The sequence below is a fragment of the Homo sapiens genome, chromosome 19, assembly GCF_000001405.40.
Source record: "Homo sapiens chromosome 19, GRCh38.p14 Primary Assembly".
Taxonomy (NCBI): domain Eukaryota; kingdom Metazoa; phylum Chordata; class Mammalia; order Primates; family Hominidae; genus Homo; species Homo sapiens.
Genome location: NC_000019.10, coordinates 21,975,714 through 22,002,174, shown reverse-complemented (window position 1 = coordinate 22,002,174; position 26,461 = coordinate 21,975,714). Strand labels below are relative to the sequence as shown.

General features: G+C 38.2%; 1 protein-coding gene, 1 long non-coding RNA gene and 1 pseudogene across 7 annotated transcripts in view; 2 read left to right on the top strand and 1 right to left on the bottom strand.

Moving 5' to 3' along the window:
• Positions 1 to 26,461, top strand: part of ZNF208 (zinc finger protein 208) — a 71,129-nt gene that overhangs the window by 8,769 nt on the left and 35,899 nt on the right. For 5 of the 6 annotated variants that reach the window (NM_001329974.2, NM_001329971.2, NM_001329972.1 and 2 more), the window contains exons 2-3: positions 13,266 to 13,392; positions 14,864 to 14,959. In NM_001329974.2, coding sequence (NP_001316903.1) covers positions 13,266 to 13,392; positions 14,864 to 14,959 — 223 coding nt within the window. Of the gene's footprint in view, positions 1 to 13,265; positions 13,393 to 14,863; positions 14,960 to 15,111; positions 15,445 to 26,461 lie in introns of those variants that run through there. The other variant, NR_138252.2, reaches the window with a different exon arrangement.
• Positions 339 to 5,058, top strand: LOC124904672 (uncharacterized). Its single transcript, XR_007067204.1, has 2 exons — positions 339 to 3,092; positions 3,141 to 5,058. It is a non-coding gene; the product is annotated as an uncharacterized LOC124904672 (long non-coding RNA).
• On the bottom strand, positions 3,335 to 4,527 carry BNIP3P28 (BCL2 interacting protein 3 pseudogene 28; annotated as a pseudogene).

Sequence of the window (26,461 nt, the reverse complement as noted above, 5' to 3'; positions counted from 1 at the left end):
TTTGTTGAGGGTTTTTAACATGAAAAATGTTAAATTTTATTGAAAGCTTTTTGTGCATCTATTGAGATAATCTTGTGCTTTCTGTCTTTAATTCTGTTTATGTGATGAATCACATTTATTGATTTCTGTATGTTGAGCAAACCTTAAATCCCCAAAATAAACCATAGTTGATCATAGTGGGTTAGCTTTTTGATATGCTGCTGGATTTGGTTTGCCAGTAGTTTGTTGAAGATTTCTTTTCTTTTCTTTTTTCTTTTTTTTTTTTTTTTTTTTTTTTTTTTTGGGATGGAGTCTCACTGTGTCATCCAGGCTGGAGTGTAGTGGTGCAATCTTGGCTCACTGCAACCTCTGCCTCCCAGGTTCAAGTGATTCTCCTGCCTCAGCCTCTTGAGTAGCTGGGATTACAGGTGTGTGCTACCATGCCCAGCTAATTTTTTGTGTGTTTTTAGAAGAGACAGGGTTTCATCATGTTGGCTAGGCTGGTCTTGAACTCCTGACCTCAGGAAATTGGCCCACCTTGGCCTCCCAAAGTTCTGGGATTACAGGCATGAGCCACCAGGCCCAGCCTTTTGTTGAAGATTTTTGCATCAATTTTCAAGGATATTGGCCTGAAGTTGCCTTTTTTTGTTTTATCTCTGTTAGGTTTTGGTATCAGAATGATGCTGTTCTTACATAATGAGTTGGAGAGGAGTTTCTTCTTTTTAATCTTTTGAAATTGTTCTAGTAAAAATAATATCAGCTTCTATTTGTACATCTGGTAGAATTCAGCTGTGAGTATGTCTGGTCCTGAGCTTCATTTAGTTGGTAGGCTATTTATTACTAATTCAATATTTTGAGCTTATCTATGTATTTAGGGCTTTGATTTTTTGTTTGTTTGTTTGTTTGTTTTGAGATGGAGTTTCGCTCTTGTTGCCTAGGCTGGAGTGCAATGGCTCGATCTCGGCTCACCGCAACCTCCGCCTCCCAGGTTCAAGCAATTCTCCTGCCTCAGCCTCCCGAGTAGCTGAGATTACAGGCATGCACCACTATGCCTGGGTAATTTTGTATTTTTAGTAGTGACGGGGTTTCCCCAGGTTGAGGCTGGTCTCGAACTCCTGACCTCAGGTGATCCACCCACCTCAGCCTCCCAAAGTGCTGGGATTACAGGTGTGAGCCACCGCACTCAGCCCAGGGCTTTGATTTTTGTGTGTGTGTGTTCAGTCTTGGGAGGATGTGTTTGTTCAAGAATTTTTTCATTTCTTCTAGATTTCGTTTGTTTGTTTGTTTATATGCATAGCAGACTTCAGTATATTTTTGTGGGGTCAGTGCTAATGTCTCTTTTTTTTATTTCTAATTGTGTTTATTTGTATCTTCTTCATTAATCTAGCTAGTAGTTTATTTACCTTTTTTAAAAAAATAGATTTTATACCTGGATCTCTTGATATTTTGTAATTTTTCATGTCTAAATCTCCTTCAGTTCAGATCTGATTTTGGTTATTTCTTGTCTTTTGCTAGCTTAGGGGCTGATTTGCTTTTGTTGCTCTCAGTCTTTTATTTATGATGTCAGGTTGTTAAACTGAGATCTTTTTAACTTTTTGATCTGGGGATTTAATGCTATAAATTTTTCTTTTAACATTGCTTTAGATGTATTGCAGGGATTCTGGTGTGTTGTATTTTTGTTCTTATTTGTTTCAAAACACTTCTTGGTTTCTGCCTTAATTTCATTATTTACCAAAAAGTTATTCAAGTGTAGGCCATTTAATTTTTATTTAATTGTATAGTTTCCAGTTGTTTTATTGGTATTGAATCATTTTTTTCTTAAGCTGTAATCTGTGTGTGTGGTTTGTATAATTTTCGGATTTTTGAATTTGCTGAGAATTGTTTTGTTTCTGATTGTGTGGTCAATTTTAGAGTATGTGCCACATGGTGATGAGAAGAACATATATTACGGTATTTTTCGATGAAGAGTTCTGTAGATGTCTATTAGGACTGTTTGGTCAAGTGTTGAGTTCAAGTCGTAATATTGTTGTTAATTTTCTTCTTCAATGATCTGTCCATTAGTGCTTGTCAGATGTAGTCTCCGATTATTACTGTGTCAGATTCTGAGTCTCTTCATAGGTCTCTAAGAACTTGCTTTATTCATGTGAACCCATGGAGTTTTTTTATAACACCTTCCTCTCTTCTGCTTTTCCCCCCATAAACATTCTTTCAAGTGCACACAGTGTGCAAAATTCAGATGTCCAAGAGTTCAAGAACTTGTCCAGAGACCTGGCTGTTGTAAGACAAAATATAAATTAGAAATAAGAAGCTTTATTCTCATATGTGAAAATAAGGGAGGATAACTTGCTGATTTTTATAAAAGGTTTAGATTATATGTATATATTTTTTCTGCTTTTTGAAATATATGTAAATCATATTAGCAATAACACAAACCATTTGTCATTCTTTTTGACTCAGAATTGTCTTTATCTGGGACCTGAGATTCATTGCTTTCTTTTTGTCTTGGCAAAATATTGGTTTTTTTTTTGTCTTTAGTCTTTAAAGTAGACACAAATTTGTTCAGAGTAAAGTTCATTTCAAGAGCATAAAGAAGTTGAGCACAAAGATTGGATTAAATTTAGCAATACAGAATAATAAAGACTAAAAGATCCTGAGTAAGTTCTTTGGCAGAAACCTGATTATCCAGGGTGATTATTTGCTGGCTGACATACTTACACTGCAAAAGCCAGAAGAGTTCAGTGTATAGACTGAACAGTGGAGTCTGTTGTACTTGGGTTACTTCAGTACAGTTAGTATAGTTATGTGTAGTGTTTGTAGACAACCTGCATTCATATAAACAGTATTTTCTACAATAGTATGAATTTAAGGCCACGTATTTACTTAGATTGAATTCCTTAGTTATTTTAATATTATTCATATTTTTGAAATATAGTGTTTCAACTGAAGTATAGTTCAGATAATTTTTTAAAATCTTACATACATTATGAGTAGTACATAAAATTATTCATACTTACATATTTGTATCTGATATCCAAAAAAATTTACCATTAAATCATTATAGTAGATATTAGTCTGACATGCATATTAATTTATCCAATGGGAATAAATTATAGGTATATAATTTATAAATTATAGCATAAAATTATGCTATAAAATTATAGCATAAAATTATGCTATAAAATTATAGCATAATTTTAGTGTCATATATTTTACCAAATTAGCTTGCTACTATTACAGGACAAAGACAAGTGATATGGCTACCCAAAAACCGTAATTGCTCTCCAGTTAGCTATGTTGCAAGCTCTAATATATTCTACTATATTAACACAGTCAGATTTCAATTTTTATAAAAAAGTGCTGGTGGAAGTTGTCAGATATATTCCAATATATCTCACATTCAATGGTTAGGAAATAAGAGAACAGCAGAGATGGAAGATAAATCTTTTAAAATTCTGCTGAGAGCTGGGCGCTGTGGCTCATGCCTGTAATCCCAGCATTTTGGGAGGCCAAGGGGGGTGGATCACCTGAGGTCAGGAGTTTGAGACCAGCCTGGACAATGTGGTGAAACCTCGTCTCTACCAAAAATAACAGAATTAGCCAGGTGTGGTGGTGTGTGTCTACAGTCCCAGTCATTTGGGAGGCTGAGACAGGAGAATTGCTTGAACCCGGGAGGCAGAGGTTGTAGTGAGCCTAGATCACACCATTGCACTCCAGCCAGGGCAACAAGAATGAAACTCCTTGGCCGGGCGTGGCAGCTCACGCCTGTAATCCCAGCACTTGGGAGGCCGAGGCAGGTGGATCACGAGGTCAGGAGATCGAGACCATCTTGGCTAACATGGTGAAACTCCATCTCTACTAAAAATACAAAAAAAAATTAGCCGGGTGTGGTGGCACACGCCGATAGTCCCAGCTACTCAGGAGGCTGAGGCAGGAGAATGGCGTGAACCCAGAAGGCAGAGCTTACAGTGAGCCGAGATCGCGCCACTGCACTCCAGCCTGGGCGACAGAGTGAGACTCTGTCCAAAAAAAAAAAAAAAAGAATGGAACTCTATCTCAAAAAAAAAAAATTTTTTTTTTTGCTGAGAATGTGCCCCCTTTATTCAATAATGCTCATGTTTCCCTTGCTGAGAGTAGCTATGCACTTTGGGTGTTTGGAGAGAAATTCTTCTTAGGGAAATATTTTCTGGCTGACTTGATCAATCTTATATCTAATCTCAGTTTTTTCTTAAGACACTTTTAACTTTTTTCTCTCAACATAATCTTTCTCAGAATGAGAGCAGTTTTTTCTCTCTAATGCATTGTGTGTCTGTTTGAGAAGCCCTATTAGTATCCCGTGGTGTCTGTGAAAGACGTGAGCTGTCACAGTGAGAACTCTCAGAGCTGTCTCTATCTGGACTCATGCTAAAACCCAGCAGTATTTTTTTCATGTCACCATTATAAATAAAAACTGAGGCTGAAACAGTGCTCCCTTTTCTATTATTGTGAAGGTGCAATTCTACCCAGGAGGCCTGCAGGCTCTCCTCCTGCTGCTCAGGCTTCACTGTCTGATGTGCCACTGGAGTGCTGCTGTGGCAAATGGGGTTCACCTAAGATGTGAGTTTCCAGCTGTGAGCCCTGTGCTGTGGGCTGTGCCTCAGTGGCAGATGGTGGGGTCAAGAGAGTACACTAGCCACCAAGAGAGGGAAAGCAGGAGTGCTCTAGCCCAGTGCTCAGGGAGTAGAGAGCTATTGCTTTAAAATGTAAATAGCCAAAAAGATAGCACCCGAATCAACACTTTTTGTAGAAGAGTCAAAGCCTACCTTCAGTAGGCACCGGGGTTCAAGTTGCAAAACTACCTCCAGTCATGAAGATGTGAAAAGTTTATTTTGTCATTGATTATAACCAATTAGCATACATGGATGGCCTTCCCAACTACCATGTGAATTTAGGATGAACTATGTATGACATGGTGCTGTAAATTCTACTTGTAGACAAATTATGGTCACTGTCTTTCTGTCTTTGCAATCTCTTGAGCAAATTGACTATAATGCATGTCATATTCACATGTAATTGTGTAATAAAACAATTTTCTTTCTGTTCTGTTATGTGGAGTTCCTCTGGGGCTGAAGAAAATTGTGCTTCTAATTATATTTCCCAAACCTTGTCTAGAATTACCAGACATAATACAAACACATAAGGTGCCAACTAAGCTTTACTCTAGATGGGCCTTTTCCACTCAGGCTTCCAGTCAATTCACAGTTGTGCTGTGAAGTGCATGCTGTACCCTAAATATGCAGGTGGAATTGTGTCTCTACGTACTTGGTATCTATCATCCTCTGCAGTCACTTTTAGAGAGGCTAGAACAGATTTCTACAAACTTCATAGGTCAGATATTAACCATTTTACCTCTTTCAATGACTTGTGTCTTCAGACCTGAAACTGATTCAGTGACCATGGGGCACAGAAACCCAATCAGAGTAAAATATGTGCACTGAGTAGACCTGTAGACGTGAGAATCCACTTCTCCCTCCCTCCTCATGCTAAAATGCCCACAAATGTTCAGGTAACACCTATTGCTACTTTACCCATGCAGGACCTGAATTTGCAGCTCCGTATTCTAAATCTAAGTCTTGAGAATTGAAAAGAAAAAAATAAGTTTTTATCTGAGGAATGCAAGTCCTTTTAGTTACTAAAGTCAGAGAAACATTAAAATGAGAGCACAATTACGTTTTTCTCCTTTTTTTCAGCTATATATTTATCTATTGAAACTGTTCACTATTGCCACAAGTAGCTATAAATTAAACTAATAATTCTACACTGGACACTATATTCCATATCCTTAACCTTAATGATGTATATCCAATCAATTATTAAAGTTATTTCTTTACATAAATAAGAATTTCTCACAACCAATTTTGTATCAGCTCACTCACTGTTCCTCTTTTTTGCCTTCACAAATCCACTTGTAAGTGCTGCTAATGAAAGTGTAGATTCCAGGCAACTTGAATATTTTGTCTCAAGTTAAAATACTTAAGCTTGACCCAAATAAACTGTCTGCTTATGTTCATGTTGTGTCAGCTTTTTTAAGGTAAAATATTATTTAGAATATCCTAGAGCAGCCTCTAGGAGGGAATCTCTCCTTTGATTTCACTCTACTTGCTGTAACACCCAAAAATGCAGAGTGAGGTTGATTTCACCTAGAATTTGCAAATAAGACCTGGCCTCTGCTGGGATTTACAAGGCAGGGCCAGACTTTGGATTGAGAATTTACAGAAAACCAACAGGAGGCATTTTCTGCATTGTGAGATATCAACATAGACATTTTAAATTCCTTTTTTGGGAGTGTGGCTTTTTGACCTTTTCACATCTTCTTCATTAACCTGCCACAGTTATATGAGAGGCTCCAGGAGTAAATAGAATCTGATGGCAGAATCTGTAAGTGTAAACAAGCATCTTAAGACCACAAAGTATCCAGAGCCATGACCACAACTATACCTACCTGTAAAATGTGATACTGGAGTAGAGTCTTCTTGTCCTTCTACTTACCCAACAGCTAGCAAATCAGGACGGACAACCCGGATTCTGGAGTTGAGCCAAAGTAGTTCCATTTTTTTATTTAGAATCATCCTGAGTCTTCTCTGCCTGTCTTATCATTGGACCATCAGCCCAGGTTCACAGGGAACCGTCTAACAATTACCTATGAATCTCTGAGACATTGGAGAATGTCCAGAACAGAATTGTGTCAGGCTGACAAGAGTGATTAATTCTGCTTCTGTCCCAGTGTGAGAGAAATGAGTCATCTCGTGTTTGTTTCACCCGTTATACAAGAAGTATCTCTGGTTGGTAGCCAGATGAGAGTTTTTCCAGTTCCCTGGTACTTGGGTAAAAAATCAGGAGGTCTGGAGGCTCAAACAGATAAACTAATTGCTTCCATTTCATATAGTCATAAAAAAATAGAAGAAACAGGCTGGGTGCAATGTCTCATACCTGTAATCCCAGCACTTTGGGAAGCCAAGATGGGTGGATCACCTGAGGTCAGGAGTTCGAGACCAGCCTGGCCAACATGGTGAAATCCCATCTCTACTAAAAATACCCAAATTAGCTGGGTGTGGTGGCTCATGCCTGTAGTCCTGGCTACTTGGGAGGCTGAGGCAGGAGAATCTCTTGAACCTGGGAGGAGGAGGCTGCAGTGAGCTGAGATCACACCATCGCACCACAGCCCGGGCAACAAAGTGAGACTCAGTCTCAAAAAAAAAAAAAAAGAAAAGAAAAACAGATAAGCAGTCATGATTGCTACCATCCTGGAAGTTGTAGTCTAGACTAGCAACTGGAAAAATGGTTGAATTATGGATCATATGGTGGGTACAATAAATAGATATGTACAAAAAACAACTTGGGCTTTATTTGAGCCACTTTCTTTATATTGTGGTTTCTGATGTCTACACCTGAACTTATAAACGGAAGAGTCATTATTATTATTTGTATTTCTTTTACCCTGCTAAGAATACTTATTTTTCTTCTAAAAAAATTATTCTAGAAAACCTTAAGGGATTTTTTTTTGAATTGCTTATTAGTATGTAATATAAAATTTACAGGGCAGTGGCTAAAAAAGATTAAAATTATACAAACTCGGATTTAAGTTTACTTAAGTAAGCTTAAAAAAAAGAACTGACAGTACCCCCCAGTGGCATAGAGAACAGAATTGTACATCGGCTCTACACTCTGCCCCAGCCCTGTTCATATTCACCCTTTTTTGGAGGCCTTATTTATGTCTGGCCCTACCCTGGAGTCTTGCCTGAAAGAACCGATTAGAAGAGATCAGAGTTTTGGGTCATGAATCCTGTTGCCTTTTTAGAGCTGGTGTTCAACATTTTCTGAAACTTAAAAGCAGATAAATGGGAAATATAAAGTATGTATTATAGGATCTTACTTTTCAAATTTTTTATTAAAACCAGTGCTTGAAGAGACTTTATTTAGCAGCTTGTTTTCTGTTCCTCCAGATCTAGTAGTTGATTCACAAGTCACAAGAAAGTAAATATAAACACAATAAAAATGTATCTAAATTGCATTAAACTCTTTCCATCTGTATCCCTTTCATCTGTCTATATTTAGCTTTTGTTCTATACATTTTTTGAAAAAATCAATGACAGTTAAACAGAAATAGAAATAAAAATGCTGGGTCCTTTAAAGCCTTGGAATTATTGAACACTTAGTATCAACTGAAAGGGTGTTATTAGGATTAAATCACATAATGTGCTATCACAGTGCTCTGTAACTTCCTATTGAGCACATAGTACCTGCTTAATAAACATTGTAGTAGTACATGTGCACATGTTGTTTTCCAAATGCAGACTTACTCAGAAATTGCTGCTTTTTTTTTTCCTCTGCAAACTTTAAAGAGTCAGCAAAGAATATAATACTTTAGGATGAAGAATGATTGTCTTCATTTGTACCAGAAGTATTTGTGTTTTGACAAGAGTGCTGCGTGTAAGGGACTCTGCATTGTGCCTCATTTCTCTGACTAATGCTAATAATAAGCCCAGTGGGAGCAACATCATTATTGACAGGGCATTTGTTTAAAAGACCCATTTATGGACCCTTTCCATACCTGCAGAATTACATTTCATAGAGTGGGGCCAAAATTACCAAGTGATTTTATAAGCTCATTAGAGCTTGAGAGGAAATGCTTACTTAAGGAGTTATCAGCCCAGGCTTCTAATTAGTATCACTTGGCCATTTTGCAGAACTCTTTTTACTTGTGCCCTGTCCATGGATTCTGTTTATTGTTCTTGGTGGAAGCATCCATGTTGTTTTAATTAAGTGGCTCATGTGACTCTAAGGTGAGGCCAGAATCAAGTATGAGGAATTCAAAATACATTCATGAGAGTTAAGTTCCATCTTTGCATTAAAGGGTGGTCCAAGAACCTAATTCTGTTTGGATTTGGTAGGGACAGTACAGCGTGGCCCATATTTCCATTACTGTGGCAGAAATTGCTGGTGCCTGTGTCAGGGGATGGCTCCTGAGGACAAAATAAAGAAAAGCATATTTTTATCTCTGTGGAGCTACTCTTTGTTAATCTCTTCGGCTATAAAGGACAGAAATGGATGGAGTTTTTCTGTCTTGGTCCTTCTGCCTGTGGATGTGGTGACAGCAGGTAGACCTGTGGTGCTGACACTTTTAAAGGCATATTCTCAAGATGCAGGTGTAATTTGTCTAGAAAATTTTATTTGAGAAAGAATCCTAGAGAAGGAGGAGAAGGAGAAAAAAATGGCCTTTTCTTTTTCAGCTAAACATGTCTCAGATCAAGATCTGTGTCCAGTCTGCTTCCTCCAGAAAACATGTGTTTAGTACTTGCAAACCTGTACTTCTGTATTTGTGTTTTTCCTCCCTAATGAGTTTGTCTTAACTATTTGAAAAAATTCTGACAATAATCAAAGTCTCTGAAAAATATATATTTTTTCTGTATACCAGAGCCTTCTCTATATTACGGCTTCTTCTATGCCATGCAGAAATCTCACTATGAATTTATAATCTGCAATATTAAAAATGTCCCTTTGTGGCTGTGGAACATGGGAAGATGTAGACACTCAAAATTCCTATTGGGGAAAACCTGGGGTTTTTAGTGAAGACAGAACATATAATGTTGTGGTTTCATCTGTGTTCTTTATTATGTCTCTGCAGTACAGGATAAGAAAACACTCATTGAAGCAGTATGGTATTTATTACCCAGAAAATTCTTTAAAAATTGTTAGGAGATACCCGCTTTCTACAGTGCTAAAGAAAGACTATTTAAAATCACTACTAAAAATTACAGAACATGGGAGATATCTGTATCTTGAACTTTCCATAAAACTAATGTTTCCTTATGGTTAAACTCAGACTATAATTTACCTTTCAGGGGGCAATATCTCAGCAGTAATGCTGCGTCCTTCTGGGTGCATCAGGACATTATAAAAATGTGTTCTAGTGTAGTTGATGTTAATAAATCACTTGGTTGATAAGCTTTCTGACACATTTTTTCACTATAGAATTAATTATTTTTCTCTTCATCATCAAGTATCTTTATGCAGCTGATGTGAATAAACCAACACATTTAATCTGGCTGCTGCCCTTCTTTCTTAGGTTTCCTTTCCATTTGTCTGTTTTTGGAAAATGAAACCTCTCATCTTTGTTTACAAACCAGAAAAACTGAGAAAAACACAGGCTCATTCAATTACTGGATATTTGACAAAATAGTCTTTTTGGGCCAAAAACTTTGGCATACTTATGAGCTTATTAGAAATTCAGTAACTCAGACTTTATCTCAGATCTTCTGGAAAAAAAAAATCTGCATTAACAGGATCTCTAGCTTGTTGTACACATTAAAATTTGAGTGATACCTTCTAACTCAACACATCTATTCCATCTGAATAATACACAAAACTATGTCTTTCCATTTGAAAAATGCAATTGATTCTTTTTTTTTTTTTTTTTTTGAGATGGAGTTTCACTCTTGTTGCCCAAGCTGGAGTGCAATGGCATGATCTCGGCTAACCGCAACCTCTGCCTCGCGGGTTCAAGCGATTCTCCTGCCTCAGCCTCCTGAGTAGCTAGGATTACAGGCATGCGCCACCATGCCTGGCTAATTTTGTGTTTTTAGTGGAGACAGGGTTTCTCCATGTTTGTCAGGCTGGTCTCGAACTCCCGACCTCAGGTGATCTGCCTGCCTCAGCCTCCCAAAGTGCTAGGATTACAGGCATAAGCCACCATGCCTGGCACACAATTAATTCTGTATGATGTAAATATAGCACTCAAAATTGTACATGTTAGTGTTTATGCCCTCAGTTTATACTTTATTATCTAGAAAAATATTACATATAAACTGATGTTATGGATCTTATACCACTTTCTTTTATCAGAGTTAGAGAATAAAACTCTCAATAAATTAGGTATTGATGGGATGCATCTCAAAATAATAAGAGCTATCTATGACAAACTCACAGCCAATATCATACTGAATCGGCAAAAACTGGAAGCATTCCCTTTGAAAACTGGCACAAGACAGGGATGCCCTCTCTCACCACTCCTATTCAACATAGTGTTGGAAGTTCTGACCAGGGCAATTAGGCAGGAGAAGGAAATAAAGGGTATTCAATTAGGAAAAGAGGAAGTCAAATTGTCCCTGTTTGCAGATGACATGATTGTATATCTAGAAAACTCCATTGTCTCAGCCCAAAATCTCCTTAAGCTGATAAGCAACTTCGACAAAGTCTCAGGATACAAAATCAATGTACAAAAATCACAAGCATTCTTATACACCAATAACAGACAAACAGAGAGCCAAATCATAGTGAACTCCCATTCACAATTGCTTCAAAGAGAATAAAATACTTAGGAATCCAACTTAGAAGGGACGTGAAGGACCTCTTCAAGGAGAACTACAAACCACTGCTCAATGAAATAAAAGAGGATACAAACAAATGGAAGAACATTCCATGCTCATGGGTAGGAAGAATCAATATCGTGAAAATGGCCATACTAGGTATTTTATAGATTCAAGGTAATTTATAGATTCAATGCCATCTCCATCAAGCTACCAATGACTTTCTTCACAGAATTGGAAAAAACTACTTTAAAATTCATATGGAACCAAAAAAGAGCCTGCATCACCAAGTCAATCCTAAGCCAAAAGAACAAAGCTGGAGGCATCACGCTACCTGACTTCAAACTATACTACAAGGCTACAGTAACCAAAACATCATGGTACTGGTACCAAAACAGAGATATCAGAGATATAGATCAATGGAATAGAACAGAGCCCTCAGAAATAATGCTGGATATCTACAACTATCTGATCTTTGACAAACCTGAGAAAAAGAAGTAATGGGGAAAGGATTCCTTATTTAATAAATGGTGCTGGGAAAACTGGCTAGCCATATGTAGAAAGCTGAAACTGGATCCCTTCCTCACATCTTATACAAAAATTAATTCAAGATGGATTAAAGACTTAAACTTTAGACCTAAAACCATAAAAACCCTAGAAGAAAACCTGGGCATTACCATTCAGGACATAGGCATGGGCAAGGACTTCATGTCTAAAACACCAATAGCAATGGCAACAAAAGCCAAAATTGACAAATGGGATCTAATTGAACTAAAGAGCTTCTGCACAGCAAAAGAAACTACCATCAGAGTGAACAGGCAACCTACAAAACAGGAGAAAATTTTCGCAAACTACTCATCTGACAAAGGGCTAATATCCAGAATCTACAGTGAACTCAAACTAATTTACAAGAAAAAAACAAACAACCCCATCAAAAAGTGGGCAAAGGATATGAACAGACACTTCTCCAAAGAAGATATTTATGCAGCCAAAAAACACATGAAAAAATGCTCATCATCACTGGCCATCAGAGTAATGCAAATCAAAACCACAATGAGATACCATCTCACACCAGTTAGAATGACAATCATTAAAAAGGCAGGAAACAACAGGTGCTGGAGAGGATGTGGAGAAATAGGAACACTTTTACACTGTTGGTGGGACTGTAAACTAGTTCAGCCATTGTGGAAGTCCATGTGGCAATTCCTCAGGGATCTAGAACTAGAAATAACATTTGACCCAGCCATCTCATTACTGGGTATATATCCAAAGGACTATAAATCATGCTGCTATAAAGACACATGCACACGTATGTTTATTGCGGCACTATTCACAATAGCAAAGACTTGGAACCAACCCAAATGACCAACAATGACAGACTGGATTAAGAAAATGTGGCACATATATACCATGGAATACTATGCAGCCATAAAAAATGATGAGTTCATGTCCTTTGTTGGGACATGGATGAAATTGGAACATTCTCAGTAAACTATCACAAGGACAAAAAACCAAACACCGCATGTTCTTGCTCATAGATGGGAATTGAACAATGAGAACACATGGACACCGGAAGGGGAACATCACAGTCTGGGGACTGTTGTGGGGTGGGGGGTGGGGGGAGGGATAGCATTAGGAGATATACCTAATGCTAAATGACGAGTTAATGGGTGCAGTACACCAGGATGGCACATGTATACATATGTAATTAACCTGCGCATTCTGCACATGTACCATAAAACTTGAAGTATAATAATAATTAAAAAAAGAAAAAAGAGAGAGAATATGTTAGAGAATATTTGTGTTAAAAATTATTTTATTGAATAATTTCAGTCATGCTTATAAGTCAGAACCAGCTCTCTTTACTCTCTGCATTTTACCTTGAGTCAAATTAAAAATTCTGCCCATGTCCAGTTGATAAATATGTGTGTTTGTGTTTTCCAGGGATCATTGACATTTAGGGATGTGGCCATAGAATTCTCTCTGGAGGAGTGGCAATGCCTGGACACTGCACAGCAGAATTTATATAGAAATGTGATGTTAGAGAACTACAGAAACCTGGTCTTCCTGGGTGAGAATAACTTTAATACGCAATTCCTAGTATACACTACAGGTTTCATTTTGCTGCAGACCTTATTGGACTGAACAACGGAGGATGAATGTGAGAATAAAGACAAAGACAAAAGAGTATATTTGGAAGAAGGGGTCAGGGGCCTCCTTGCTTCTAGTCAACAAGGGTCCTGAGCTTCTATAGCCCTTTGTATTTATTGAGTAAAGGAGATAGGGAGAAGGGGGAGGTTGTGGTCAGCTGCTTGACTTAATGAAGGCCTGCATGACTGTATTCTTTCAACAGCACTCTCCAGATGTTCCAGTAGATAACTTCAAGGAGCATGGCACCAGGGAGTGACTGTCCTCAGTGTACCTTCTGGTGGCAGGAGCAGAAGCAAGTTTGCCCACATTCTGCATTCATGATAAACTGTTTGCTGTTTATCATATAGCCTCCAGTGGAATGCTGAGTTGGTCATGACCCTCAGGCTTTCAGCTCCCAACACCATTTCTTTTTTGTATAATTTCTTTTTGGTAATTTATGCTTTCAGATTTCTATTTTCAAGAAAATCATAGGAGTTTTTCCATATAGAAAAAAAATTCAAGATGTTTCATCTTGACCTGAACTTACCACATTCTTGAGCTGATCTGTGTCCTTCACTTTAGATTAATGGTAATTTCAAAAGTTTACTGGCAACCACCAATTTTTAATTCAGTATTACTAGGTGATAAAATTAAGAACCTACAAAATTAGAGAATTTTCTAAATATTTAGAAATTTCTGTTATTGTTGGGGACCAGCTTCAATACCACCTGTAGGGTACAGAAAGTCCGGTGGCGACGAAGGAATGAGAAGAGACAGGTTAAGAGTGCACAAAGGGTGGGGTGCCAGGGGACCAGTTGCACTTTTGGAGGCTGCAAAAGGCATCAAGTTCTGGTCTCCACAGTATTTATTGAGTATAATCACTTAGATCTAAGAAGCAGATGTTCAGGGGTGAAATGGTGAAAGGGAGGTAGTGTGTCATACACCTAATCTATAGCAGTGGTGGTTTAGGCAAAGTTTCTTTGTGCTGAAGCAGAATAAACTTAACTACTGATTCATTCTTTAACTTACCGGAGAGCAGCTGTTGGGGGGTGGGCCTAACTAGGAGCCTGCATATCTGGCCACATTCCAGTGCTTCAAAGGAGTATCTTTCTCCTTGAGCACAGTGTTTATAAGTAAGAGAGCAGGTCACGCTCTGGTCATGGGAACGTGATGGCAGTAAGGAGGCTTTCCTCCTCGGAGGCCTCCTGTGGCTTTCCACAACATATTGTCCCATATTTTTATGGCCAGCTTATACAGGCACCCCATAAGCCTTTTTCCCAACTTATTATAATTTAGTATTTTGGGATAAATCTATTAGAATATTCTATTACATCCTCTTTACTGAGCACATTACTGAGTTGGTAATTGGAGAATATGAGCAAGAAGCATGTTGTTCATTTTTAATAAAACAGGTATTGCTGCCTTTAAGCCAGACCTGATCATTTTTCTGGAGGAAGGAAAAGAGTCCTGGAATATGAAGAGACATGAGATGGTGGAAGAATCCCCAGGTAGGTGAGAGTGAATACAGACAACATGGATGAGAGGTCGAAAGTCAAGGAGGAAGCCAGTCCTTAAAGTGATTCTGGAAGCTGTGTTCCAAAAGAAGTAGTTTCTGGAGAGACTAATTTTTATTTTTATTCTTTAATTTTCTCTCACACAGGGGCATCTTCGGTCTTACACTTTTAAAATTTCTAAGAATTCTTCTTTCCCTTCAGTAATCTTCCTTCAAGTTTACAGTGACAGCCAAAGTACTGTTCATGGCATACAAGAGAGTGCACAATCTTTTTGTTTGTTTGTTTTTGTGGACACACAGATATCTGCATGATTTTAAGATACTCCATGTTAAACTATCTTATAAGTTCTCTCTTTCCATCATCTCTGAAATGTGTGAGAGTAGTAGTTTCTGTATCTTTGGGGTTTTTTTGTTCATTTTTCTGTACATTTCATCCTGTTTTTATTACTGTAGTCTTGAAATATAGTTTGAAATTATAAAGTATGATGTCCTTCTGCTTTTTTCTTTTTCTTCAAGATTGCTTTGGCTATTCACAGTTTCTTGTAGTTTCATGTAAATTTTATGATTGTATTTTTCATTACTGTGAAAAAAACACTGGAATATTGATAGAGAGTTTATTGAATCTAGAGATCACTTTGGATAATATGGCATTTTACCATTTATTCTTTGAATTGATAGGCATAAAATGTATTTGAATTTATTTGTGTTCTCATTATTTTTCATTGATAAATCTTGCACTTGAAAACTTTTTCAACTCCTCAGTTAAATTTGTTCTCAGATATTTATTATTTTAGTGCTATTGTAAATAAGATTGTTTTATTACTCTATTTTATCAGATAGTTTAAGTGTATGGAAACATAACTTGTATGTTAATTTTATATTTTGCTAATTTACTGAGTGTATTTATTGGTTTGAAAAGGTTTTAATGTACTGTTTATGGTTTTTTATAGAGAACATTGCATGATTTACAAACAGCAATGTTTTACTTATTTGTCTTCAATTTCAATGACATTAAAATTTTTTTGACTAATTTTTCTTCCACATACTTCAAGTGCTGTGTTAAAATAGAAGCATTGACAATGAACACAATATACTTTTGCATTGGTGTATGAATTTGAAGGAGTAAACACCTCTTAAAGTTTTTATAAACTGGTTTCAGAGGGTTGTAGCTCGGTCACAGGGCTGCTGGCTCTGCAATAGAGTTGGCTTACTATAAGGGGCTTTGGTAGTTGTAATTCCCATTTTATTTTTGGACAGAGTAAATATCCCTCAGGACTTTGCTCAGTAGGGTATCAGATGCTAGGGCAGGTTTCTGCAGTCAGGTCTGCGTATGGTGGGCTTTATAATAGGATGTGGATTAGTATGGTTTCACTGAGTACCAGAGAGCATTTCTGAGGTCACTGTAGGTTTCTACATGGGCAGAAGTGGCCATGAACCGTGGCTTAGGAAACTGGAACTGAGTCATGAAACTGGTATTGGAACCACAGTAAGGACCAAGGTCTGCCGGCCTGCCGTCATGGCTCTAAATGGGTATCTCTCTCCAGGCTTCTGGAAGACAAAGACCTCTCACAGACTGTGGCTGGGAGGAGTTTGGGATGGTTACAGAGTAAGTTCAAAATTCTCCGTGGGACCAAGTTGGGTGGGACATTTTCTGGTCTGTAGTCAAGAGCAGGGGTCCTGTAGTTTGCCACTTGAATGAAAGCTTGCCTGCTGAAAAGGGTGCTCCTCAATCTTGGGCTTTAGCAAAGTTTCACAATTGCCTCCCTGGATCTCAAAGCTCTCTTAAAGGCACTTATTTTTGAGATGGGGTTTCACTACATAACCCAGGTTGGTCTTAAAATTTTGTCCTGAAGCAATTCTCCAACCTTACTGTACCATGTTGCTGTCATTACAGATGTTAACCATGATGCCTGGTTCCCTCATTAAGATATTTTTGTCACGGATGACTGACAAACTTTCTTGCTGTTGGGGGTTAAGCAAATAGGAGACCTTTTTGTTTTTATCTGTTTCTAAGAGTTTAAATGCTTTATATCTCTCTATCTCATACAATCTTTGTCTTTTTGTGGCTGACTCATTTCATTTTGCATAATGTTATCAAGATTTATCGTTATAATTGGTAGAATATTTTCTGCTTTTTTAAAACTGAGTGATATTCCAGTATATTTATATTTCAGATTATATTTACTGAATGATTTGGTGACAGAAATTTGCATTGCCTTTACCTACTAGCTTACAGTAATAATTATTGCTATGTAAATGACTCCTCATATGACTATACATGTTAAAGTATATGTGTCGCATTCTATTTCTTTAGTCTGATTTTTCATCCTTATACCAGATTGTTTTAATTCTGTGGCTTGGAATGTCTTTTGAAATCAGGAACTTTAATGCCTGCAACATTGCTTTATTATTATTATTTTAAGATTGTTGGGTACTTTATTGTCTTTTGAGATTCTATATACTTTTAGGGTTGCAGTTTCTATTTTTTCAAAAATGCAAGGAGAAATTTGAAAAACATTTCATTAAATTTATAGATTACATTGAATAGGATGAACATCTTTACAATATTAACATTACAACCTTTGCATAAGAGCATGCTCGAGTGTTTTGTTAAATTCATATATATTTTTTTTGTTTGTTTGTTTGTTTTTGTTTTTTTGAGACAGAGTCTTACTCTATCACCAGGCTGGAGTGCAATGGCATTATCTCGGCTCATTGCAACCTCCACCTCTTGGGTTCAAGCGATTCCCCTGCCTCAGCCTCCTGAGTAGCTGGGACTACAGGTGCGTGCCACCAAGCCTCACTAGTTTTTTGTATTTTAGTAGAGACAGGGTTTCACCATGTTGGCCAGAATGGTCTTGATCTCCTGACCTTGTGATTCACCAGCCTTGGCCTTCCAAGGTGCTGGGATTACAGGCATGAGCCACCGCACCTGGCATATTTGTTTTGTTTTCAGTTTTTTTCTATTTTTGTTGTATACTGGCATTCAAGTTTAGTCACAGAAAATAATTCATAAAATTTCAGTTTTAAAAAACTTGGTAAGACTTCTTTTTTGGCTTAAGAGGTGGTCTATCAAGAAATATATTGTATGAGCTATTCAGAAGGGTGTGTATCCTGATGTTAAGGAGTGCTCTCTATACCTCTGTCAGAAATAGTTGTTTTATACCATCTTTATGTAGCCTGTTTCCTTATTAATATTCTGTTTTTTTAAATTATGATTTAAATTCTGGGGTACATGTGCAGAACGTGCAGGTTTGTTTCATAGGTATACACGTGCCATGGGGGTTTGCTGCACCCATCAACTCGTTATCTACATTAGGTATTTCTCCTAATGTTATCCCTCCCCTAGCCCCCACCCCTTGACAGGCCCTGGTGTGTGATGTTCCCCTTCCTGTGTCCCTGTGTTCTCATTGTTAACTCCCACTTATGAGTGAGAACATGCTGTGTTTCGTTTTCTGTTCTTGTGTTAGTTTGCTGAGAATGATGATTTCCAGCTTCATCCATGTCCCTGGAAAGGACATGAACTCATTTTTTTTTATGGCTGCCTAGTATTCCATGGTATATATGTGCCACATTTTCTTTATCCTGTATATTACTGATGGGCATTTGGGTTGGTTCCAAGTCTTTGCTATTGTGAATAGTGCTGCAAAAAACATGTGTATTCATGTGCCTTTATAGTAGAATGATTTATAATCTTCTGAGTATATACCCAGTAATGGGATTGCTGGGTCAAATGGTATTTCTAGTTCTAGATCCTTGAGGAATCGCCACATTGTCTTCCACAATGGCTGAACTAATTTACACTCCAACCAGCAGTGTAAAAGCTTTTCTACTTCTCCACATCTCCAGCATCTGTTGTTTCCTGACTTCTCAATGATCGCCGTTCTAACTGGCATGAGATGGTATCTCATTTTGGTTTTGATTTGCATTTCTCTAATGACCAGTGATGATGTGCTTTTTTTCATATGTTTGTTTGCCACATAAATGTCTTTTTGAGAAATGTCTGTTCATATCCTTTGCCTACTTTTTGATGGTTTTTTTTTCTTGTAAATTTGTTTAAGTTCTTTGTAGATCCTGGATATTAGCCCTTTGTCAGATGGATAGATTGCAAAATTTTTCTCCCATTCTGTAGGTTGCCTGTTCACTCTGATGATAGTTTCTTTTGCTGTGCAGAAGCTCTTAGTTTAATTAGGTTTCATTTGTCAATTTTGGCTTTTGTTGCCATTGTTTTTGGTGTTTTAGTCATGAAGTCTTTGCCCATGCCTATGTCCTGAATAGTATTGTCTAGGTTTTCTTCTACGGTTTTTATGGTTTGCAGTGTTACATTTAAATCTTCAATCCATCTTGAGTTAATTTTTGTATAAGGTTTAAGGAAGGGGTCCAGTTTCAGTTTTCTGCATATGGCTAGCCAGTTTTTTCAACACCATTTATTAAATAGGGAATCCTTTTCCCATTGCTTGCTTTTGTCAGGTTTGTCAAAGATCAGATGGTTGTAGATGTGTGGTGTTATTTCTGAGGCCTTTGTTCTGTTCCATTGGTCTATATATCTGCTTTGATACCAGTACCATACTGTTTTGTTTACTGTAGCCTCATAGGGTAATTTGAAGTCAGGTAGCATGATGCCTCCAGCTTTGTTCTTTTTGCTTAGGATTGTCTTGGCTATATGAGCTTTTTTTTGGTTCTGTATGAAATTTAAAGCGGTTTTTTTTCTAATTCTGTGAAGAAAGTCAATGGTAGCTTGATGGGGATAGCATTGAATCTATAAATTACCTTGGGCAGTATGGCCATTTTCATGATATTGATTCTTTCTATGCACGAGCATGGAATGTTCTTCCTTTTTTTTTTTTTTTTTTGAGATGGAGTCTCGCTCTATCACCCAGGCTGAAGTGCAGTGGTGCGATCTCAGCTCACTGCAAGCTCCACCTCCCAGGTTCACGCCATTCTCCTGCCTCAGCCTCCCGAGTAGCTGGGACTACAGGCGCCTGCCACCATGCCCGGCTAATTTTTTTGTGTTTTTAGTAGAGATGGGGTTTCACAGTGTTAGCCAGGATGATCTCGATCTCCTGACCTCATGATCCACCCGTCTCGGCCTCCCAAAATGGTGGGATTACAGACGTTAGCCACTGCGCCCAGCCATGGAAAGTTTTTCCATTTTTTGTGTCCTCTCTTATTTTCTTGAGCAGTGGTTTGTAGTTCTCCTTGAAGAGGTCCTTCCCATCCCTTGTAAGTTGTATTCCTAGGTATTTTATTCTCTTTGTAGCAATTGTGAATGGGAGTTCACTCATGATTTGGCTATTATTGGTGTTTAGGAATGCTTGTGATTTTTGCTCATTGATTTTGTATTCTGAGACTTTGCTGAAGTTGCTTATCCATTTAGGGAGATCTTGGGCTGAGACAGTGGGGTTTTCTAAATATACAATCATGTCATCTGCAAATAGAGACAATTTGATTTCCTCTTTTCCTATTTGAATATCCTTTATTTCTTTTTCTTGCCTGATTGCCCTCACCAGAACTTCCAATACTATGTTGAATAGGAGTGGTGAGAGAGAGCATCCCTGTTTTGTGCCAGTTTTCAAAGGGAATGCTTCCAGTTTTTGACCATTCAGTATGATATTGTCTGTCAGTTTGTCATACATAGCTCTTATTATTTTGAGATACGTTCCATCTATACCTAGTTTATTGCAAGTTTTTAGCATGAAGGCTGTTCAATTTTGTTGAAGGCCTTTTATGCATCTATTGAGATAATCATGTGGTTTTTGTCATTGGTTGTGTTTATGTGAGCGATTATGTTTATTGATTTGTGTATGTTGAACCAGCCTTGCATCCCACAGATGAACCTGACTTGATCTTGGTGGATAAGCTTTTTGATGTGCTGCTGGATTCAGTTTGCCAGTATTTTATTGAGGATTTTTGCATCCATGTTAATCAGGGATATTGGCCTGAAATTTTCTTTTTTTGTTGTGTCTCTGCCAGGTTTTGGTATCAGGATGATGCTGGCCTCATAAAATGAGTTAGACAGGAGTCCCTCTTTTTCCATTGTTGGGAATAGTTTCAGAAATAATAGAATCAGCTCTTCTTTGTACCTCTGGTACAAAGGTTGTGAATCCATCGGGTCCTGGACATTTTTGGTTGTTAGGCTCATAATTACTGCCTCAGTTTCAGAATTCGTTATTGATCTCTTCAGGGATTTGACTTCTTCCTGATTTAGACTTGGGATGGTGTATGTGTCCAGGAATTTATTCATTTCTTTTAGATTTTCTAGTTTATTTGTATAGAGATGTTTATAGTATTGTCTGATGGTAGTTTGTATTTCTGTGGAATCAGTGGTGATGTCCCCTTTATTATTTTTGATTGTGTCTATTTGATTCTTCTCTCCTTTCTTCTTTATTAGACTGGCTAGCAGTCTATTTTGTTAATCTTTTCAAAAAACCAGCTCCTGGATTCATTGATTTTTTTGAAGGATTTTTTGTGTCTATCTCCTTCAGTTCTGCTCTTTTCTTAGTTATTTCTTGTCTTCTGCTAGGGTTTGAATTTGTTTATTCTTGCTTCTCTAGTTCTTTTCATTGTGATGTTAGGGTGTCAATTTTAGATCTGTCTTGCTTTCTTTTGTGGGCATTTAGTGCTATATATTTTCTAGACACTGCTTTGTCTGTGTCCCGGAGATTCTGGTGTGTTGTGTCTTTGTTCCTGTTGGTTTCAAAGAACTTTTTTATTTCTGCCTTCATTTTATTATTTACCCTATAATCATTCAGGAGCAGGTTGTTCAGTTTCCATGTAGTTGTACAGTTTTGAGTGAGTTTCTTAATCCTGAGTTCAAATTTGATTGCACTGTGCTCTGAGAGACTGTTTGTTATGATTTCCATTTTTTAAAATTTGCTGAGGAGTATTTTACTTCCAAGTATGTTGTCAATTTAAGAGTGATGTGGTGCCGAGAAGAATGTATATTCTGTTGATTTGTGGCAGAGTCCTGTAGATGTCTATTTGGTTTGCTTGGTCCAGAGCTGAGTTCAAGTCCTGAATATCCTTCTTAGTTTTTTGTGTCATTGATCTGGCTAATATTGACACTGGGATATTAAAGTCTCCCACTACTATAGTATGGGTATCTAAGTCTCTTTGTAGGTCTGTAAGAACTTGCTTTATGATTCTCGGTGCTCCTGTATTGGGTGCATATATATTTAGGATAGTTAGCTCATCTTGTTGCATTGATCCCTTTACCATTATGTAATGACCATCTTTGTCTCTTTTGATCTTTGTTGGTTTAAAGTCTGTTTTATCAGAGACTAGAATTGCAACCCCTGCTTTCTTTTGCTTTCCATTTGCTTGGTAAATATTCCTCCATAACTTTATTTTGAGCCTATATGTGTCTTTGCACGTGAGATGGATTTCCTGAATACAGCACTTTGATGGATCTTGACTGTTCAATTTGCCAGTCTGTGTCTTTTAATTGGGGCATTTAGCCTGTTTACATTTAAGGTTAATATTGTTGTGTGTGAATTTGATCCTGTCATTATGACGCTAGCTGGTTATTTTGCCCATTAGTTGATGCAGTTTCTTCATAGTGTCAATGATCTTTACAATTTGGTATGTTTTTGCAGTGGCTGGTTTACCAGTTGTTCCTTTTTATGTTTAGTGCTTCCTTCAGGAGCTCTTGTAAGGCAGGCCTGGTGGTGACAAAATCTCTCAGCATTTGCTTATCTGTAAAGGATTTTATTTCTCCTTCATTTATGAAGTTTAGTTTGGCTGGATGTGAAATTCTTGGTTGAAAATTCCTTTCTTTAAGAATGTTGAATATTGGCCCCCCAGTCTCTTCTGGCCTGTAGGGTTTCTGCAGAGAAATCCACTGTTAGTCTGATGGGCTTCCCTTTATGGGTAACCCGACCTTTCTCCCTGGCTGCCGTCAACATTTTTTCTTCATTTCAACCTTGGTGAATCTGACGATTCTGTGTCTTGGGGTTGCTCTTCTCGAGGAGCATCTTTGTGGTGTTCTCTGTATTTTCTGAATTTGAATGTTGGCCTGTCTTGCTATGTTGGGGACATTCTCCTGGATGATATCCTGAAGAGTGTTTTCCTACTTGGTTCCATTCTCCCTGTCACTTTCACGTACCCGAATTAAATGTAGATTTGGTCTTTTCACATAGTCCCATATTTCTTGGAGGCTTTGTTCATTTCTTTTTATTCTTTTTTGTCTAATCTTGTCTTCTTGCTTTATTTCATTAAGTTAATCTTCAGTCTCTGATATCCTTTCTTCCGCTTTATCGATTCAGCTGTTGACATTTGTGTATGCTTCATGAAGTTCTCGTGGTGTGTTTTTCATCTCCATCAGGCATTTATGTTCTCTAAACTGGTTATTCTCGTTAGCAATTCATCTAACCTTTTTTCAAGGTTCTTAGCTTCCTGGCATTGGGTTAGAACATGCTCCTTTAGTTTGGAGGAGTTTGTTATAACCCACCTCTGAAATTTGTCAAATTTGAGCTGTCAATTCGTCAAACTCATTCTCCATTCAGTTTTCTTTCTTTGCTGGCAATGAGTTGTGATCCTTTGGAGGAGAACAGGCATTCTGGGTTTTGGAATTTTCAGCCTTTTTGCACTGGCTTCTCCCCATCTTTATGGATTTATCTACCTTTGGTCTTTGATGTTGATGACTTTTGGACGGGGTTTCTGAGTAAACATCCTTTTGGAGATGTTACTTCTATTCCTTTCTGTTTGTTAGTTTTCCTTTTAACAGTCAGGCCTCTCTGCTGCAGATCTGCTGGAGCTTTCTGGAAGTCTACTCTAGACCCTGTTTGCCTGGGTATCACCAGCGGAGGCTGCAGAACAGCAAAGATTGCTGCCTGTTCCTTCCTCTGGAAGCTTCGTCCCAAGGCCACCTGCCATGTGCCAGCCAGAGCTCTCTTGTACGAGGTGTCTATCAGCTTCTACTGGGAGGTGTCTCTTAATCAGGAGACACGGGTGTCAGGGACCCACTTGAGGTGGCAGTCTGACCCTTAGCAGAGCTCAAATGCTGAGCTGGTACCTCCACTGCTCTCTTCAGAGTTGTCCAGCAGGGATGTTTAAGTCTGCTGAAGCTGCACTCACAGCTGTCCCTTCCCCAAGGTGCTCTGTCCCAGGGAGATGGGCGTTTTATCTATATGCCCCTGAATGTGGCTGCTGCATTTTTTTCAGAGATGCCCTGCCCAAAGAGGAGGCATCTTGAGATACAGTCTGGTCTTGCTGAGCTGCGATGGGCTCCATCCAGTTCAATCTTCCGGGTGGCTTTGTTTATACTCTGAGGGTAAAGCTGCCTACTCAAGCCTCAGCAATGGCGGACGCCCTTCCCCCACCAAGCTCGAGCTTCCCAGGTGGAGCTTGGACTGCTGTGCTTGCAGCCAGAATTTCAAGCCAGTGGATCTTAGCCGGCTGGGCTCCCTGGTTGTGGGAACTGCCAAGCCAGACCACTTTGCTCCCTGGCTTCAGCCCTCTTTCCAGGGGAGTGAACGGTTCTGTCTTACTGGACTTCTGGGCACTACTGGGGTATGGGGGAAAAAAAGCCTCCTGCAGCTAGTTTGGTGTCTGCTCAAATGGCCACCCAGTTTTGTGCTTGAAACCCAGGGCCCTGGTGTCATAGGCACCAGAGGGAATCTCCTGGTCTGCAGGCTGCGAAGACCATGGGAAAAGCACAGTATCTGGGCTGGAGAGCACGGTTCTTCATGGTACAGTCCCTAAACCCTTACCTTGGCTAGGAGAGGGAGTTCCCCAACCCGTTGCACTTCCCAGGGGAGACGACATCCCACCCTGCTTTGGCTTGCCCTCAGGGAGCCGCACCCACTGTTCAACCAGTTGGAATGAGATGAAACCAGTACCTCAGTTGGAAACGCAGAAATCACCCACCTTCTGTGTCGATCGCGCTGGGAGCTGTAGACCAGAGCTGTTCCTATTTGGCCATCTTGGCAGCCTCCTCTATTTTGATTTTTATTACAGAAAGTGTGGTGTAATAATATCCTACTATAATTGTATTGCTCTCCTTGTGTTTCTTCTATTCTGTCAGTATTTGCTTTCTGTATTTGTAATCCTAATGTGTGATACACACACACACGTATTCAACGTTTTCACAGGTTCTGAGTTAATCCATTATTTTTAATATCTTTCTTTGTCTCTTTGGAGTTTCACTGTAAAGTGCATTTTATAAAATATGAGTCTTTGACTTAAGATTTAGCTTGTGTAATATTATTTTGACCTCTTCTGCTCTCATTTGATTAATATTTGCATGAAATGTCTACTTCCATCTTGCCACTTTGAGTCTTTTTAACATTAGGTTTCAACTGACTCTTGTAGAAAGGCAAGTTGGATCTTGATATTTAAAATTTTTTAATAGCCTGGGCACGGTGGCTCATGCCTGTAATCCCAGCACTTTGTGAGGCTGAGGCAGGTAGATCACCTGAGGTCAGGAGCTCAAGACCAGCCTGGCCAACATGGTAAAACTCTGTCTCTACTACCAATGCAGAAATTAGCTGGGTGTGGTGGTGCATGCCTGTAATCCCAGCTACTTGGGAGTCTGAGGCAGGAGAATCACTTGAACCTGGGAGGCAGAGGTTCAAGTGAGCTGAGATAGGGTCTTTGCACTCCAGCCTGGGCAACAAAAGTAAAACTTTGTCTCAAAAGAATAAATGTTAATAAATCTATTAGATATCTGTTGATTTGAAAGTTAACTTTCCATATATTTAAATAATTTTCTGAAAGTGAAGGAGTTACTTTTATTACCTATTCTATTTGATTCTTGCATCTTGTCTCTCATTTTCTCTTTCTGTCTTCCTTTGTTTCTGTCTGATTTTTGTATGGATATGCTTTCACTATCTTAGTTTTCTTTTCTGTATGTATACAGATATTTTGTGTGTGTGGTACCTTGGGGATTGCATAGAACCTAAAAATACAACAATATATTTTAATCAGGTGAAAAATTAACTTTGGTTGCATAAAAAATTCTTCCCTATTATGTCTGCTCTTAAATTTGTCACCGATGTTGCTAAGTTTATTGATTTATGTCGTATATTCATTAACAGATGTTTATAATAATTCCTATGCTTTTATCTCTTAAATGTTAGAGAATAATTAAAAATGTTTTCTGCACCATTAGAATAATGCTAGAAATTCAATTTTTTGTCTGTGCATGTCTTTCCTAGAAAATAATGTATTTTTATATGATTAGGTGTTGTTTTCTTACATTATGTTATTTTCAGTGGTAAAAACTGCTTTCGGCATCTTTCTTATGGAAGACATATGCAGTGCTAATATACTTCTTAAGAATTTAGTTATTTTGAAAGTTGTTTTTTTTCCCCCATTAGGCAGGACAGAGTTGCTGATGGTATTATTCTCACTTGATAGCTTTTTTTTTTTTTTTTTTTTTTTTTTTTGGACTTTGACTATATCACACAGTTTTCTTCTGGACTGCAAATCTTTTGTTGACATTTCACTGGTCATTTTTGTTCTTATCCTCATTTTTCTGATTTTCTATACACTTTTG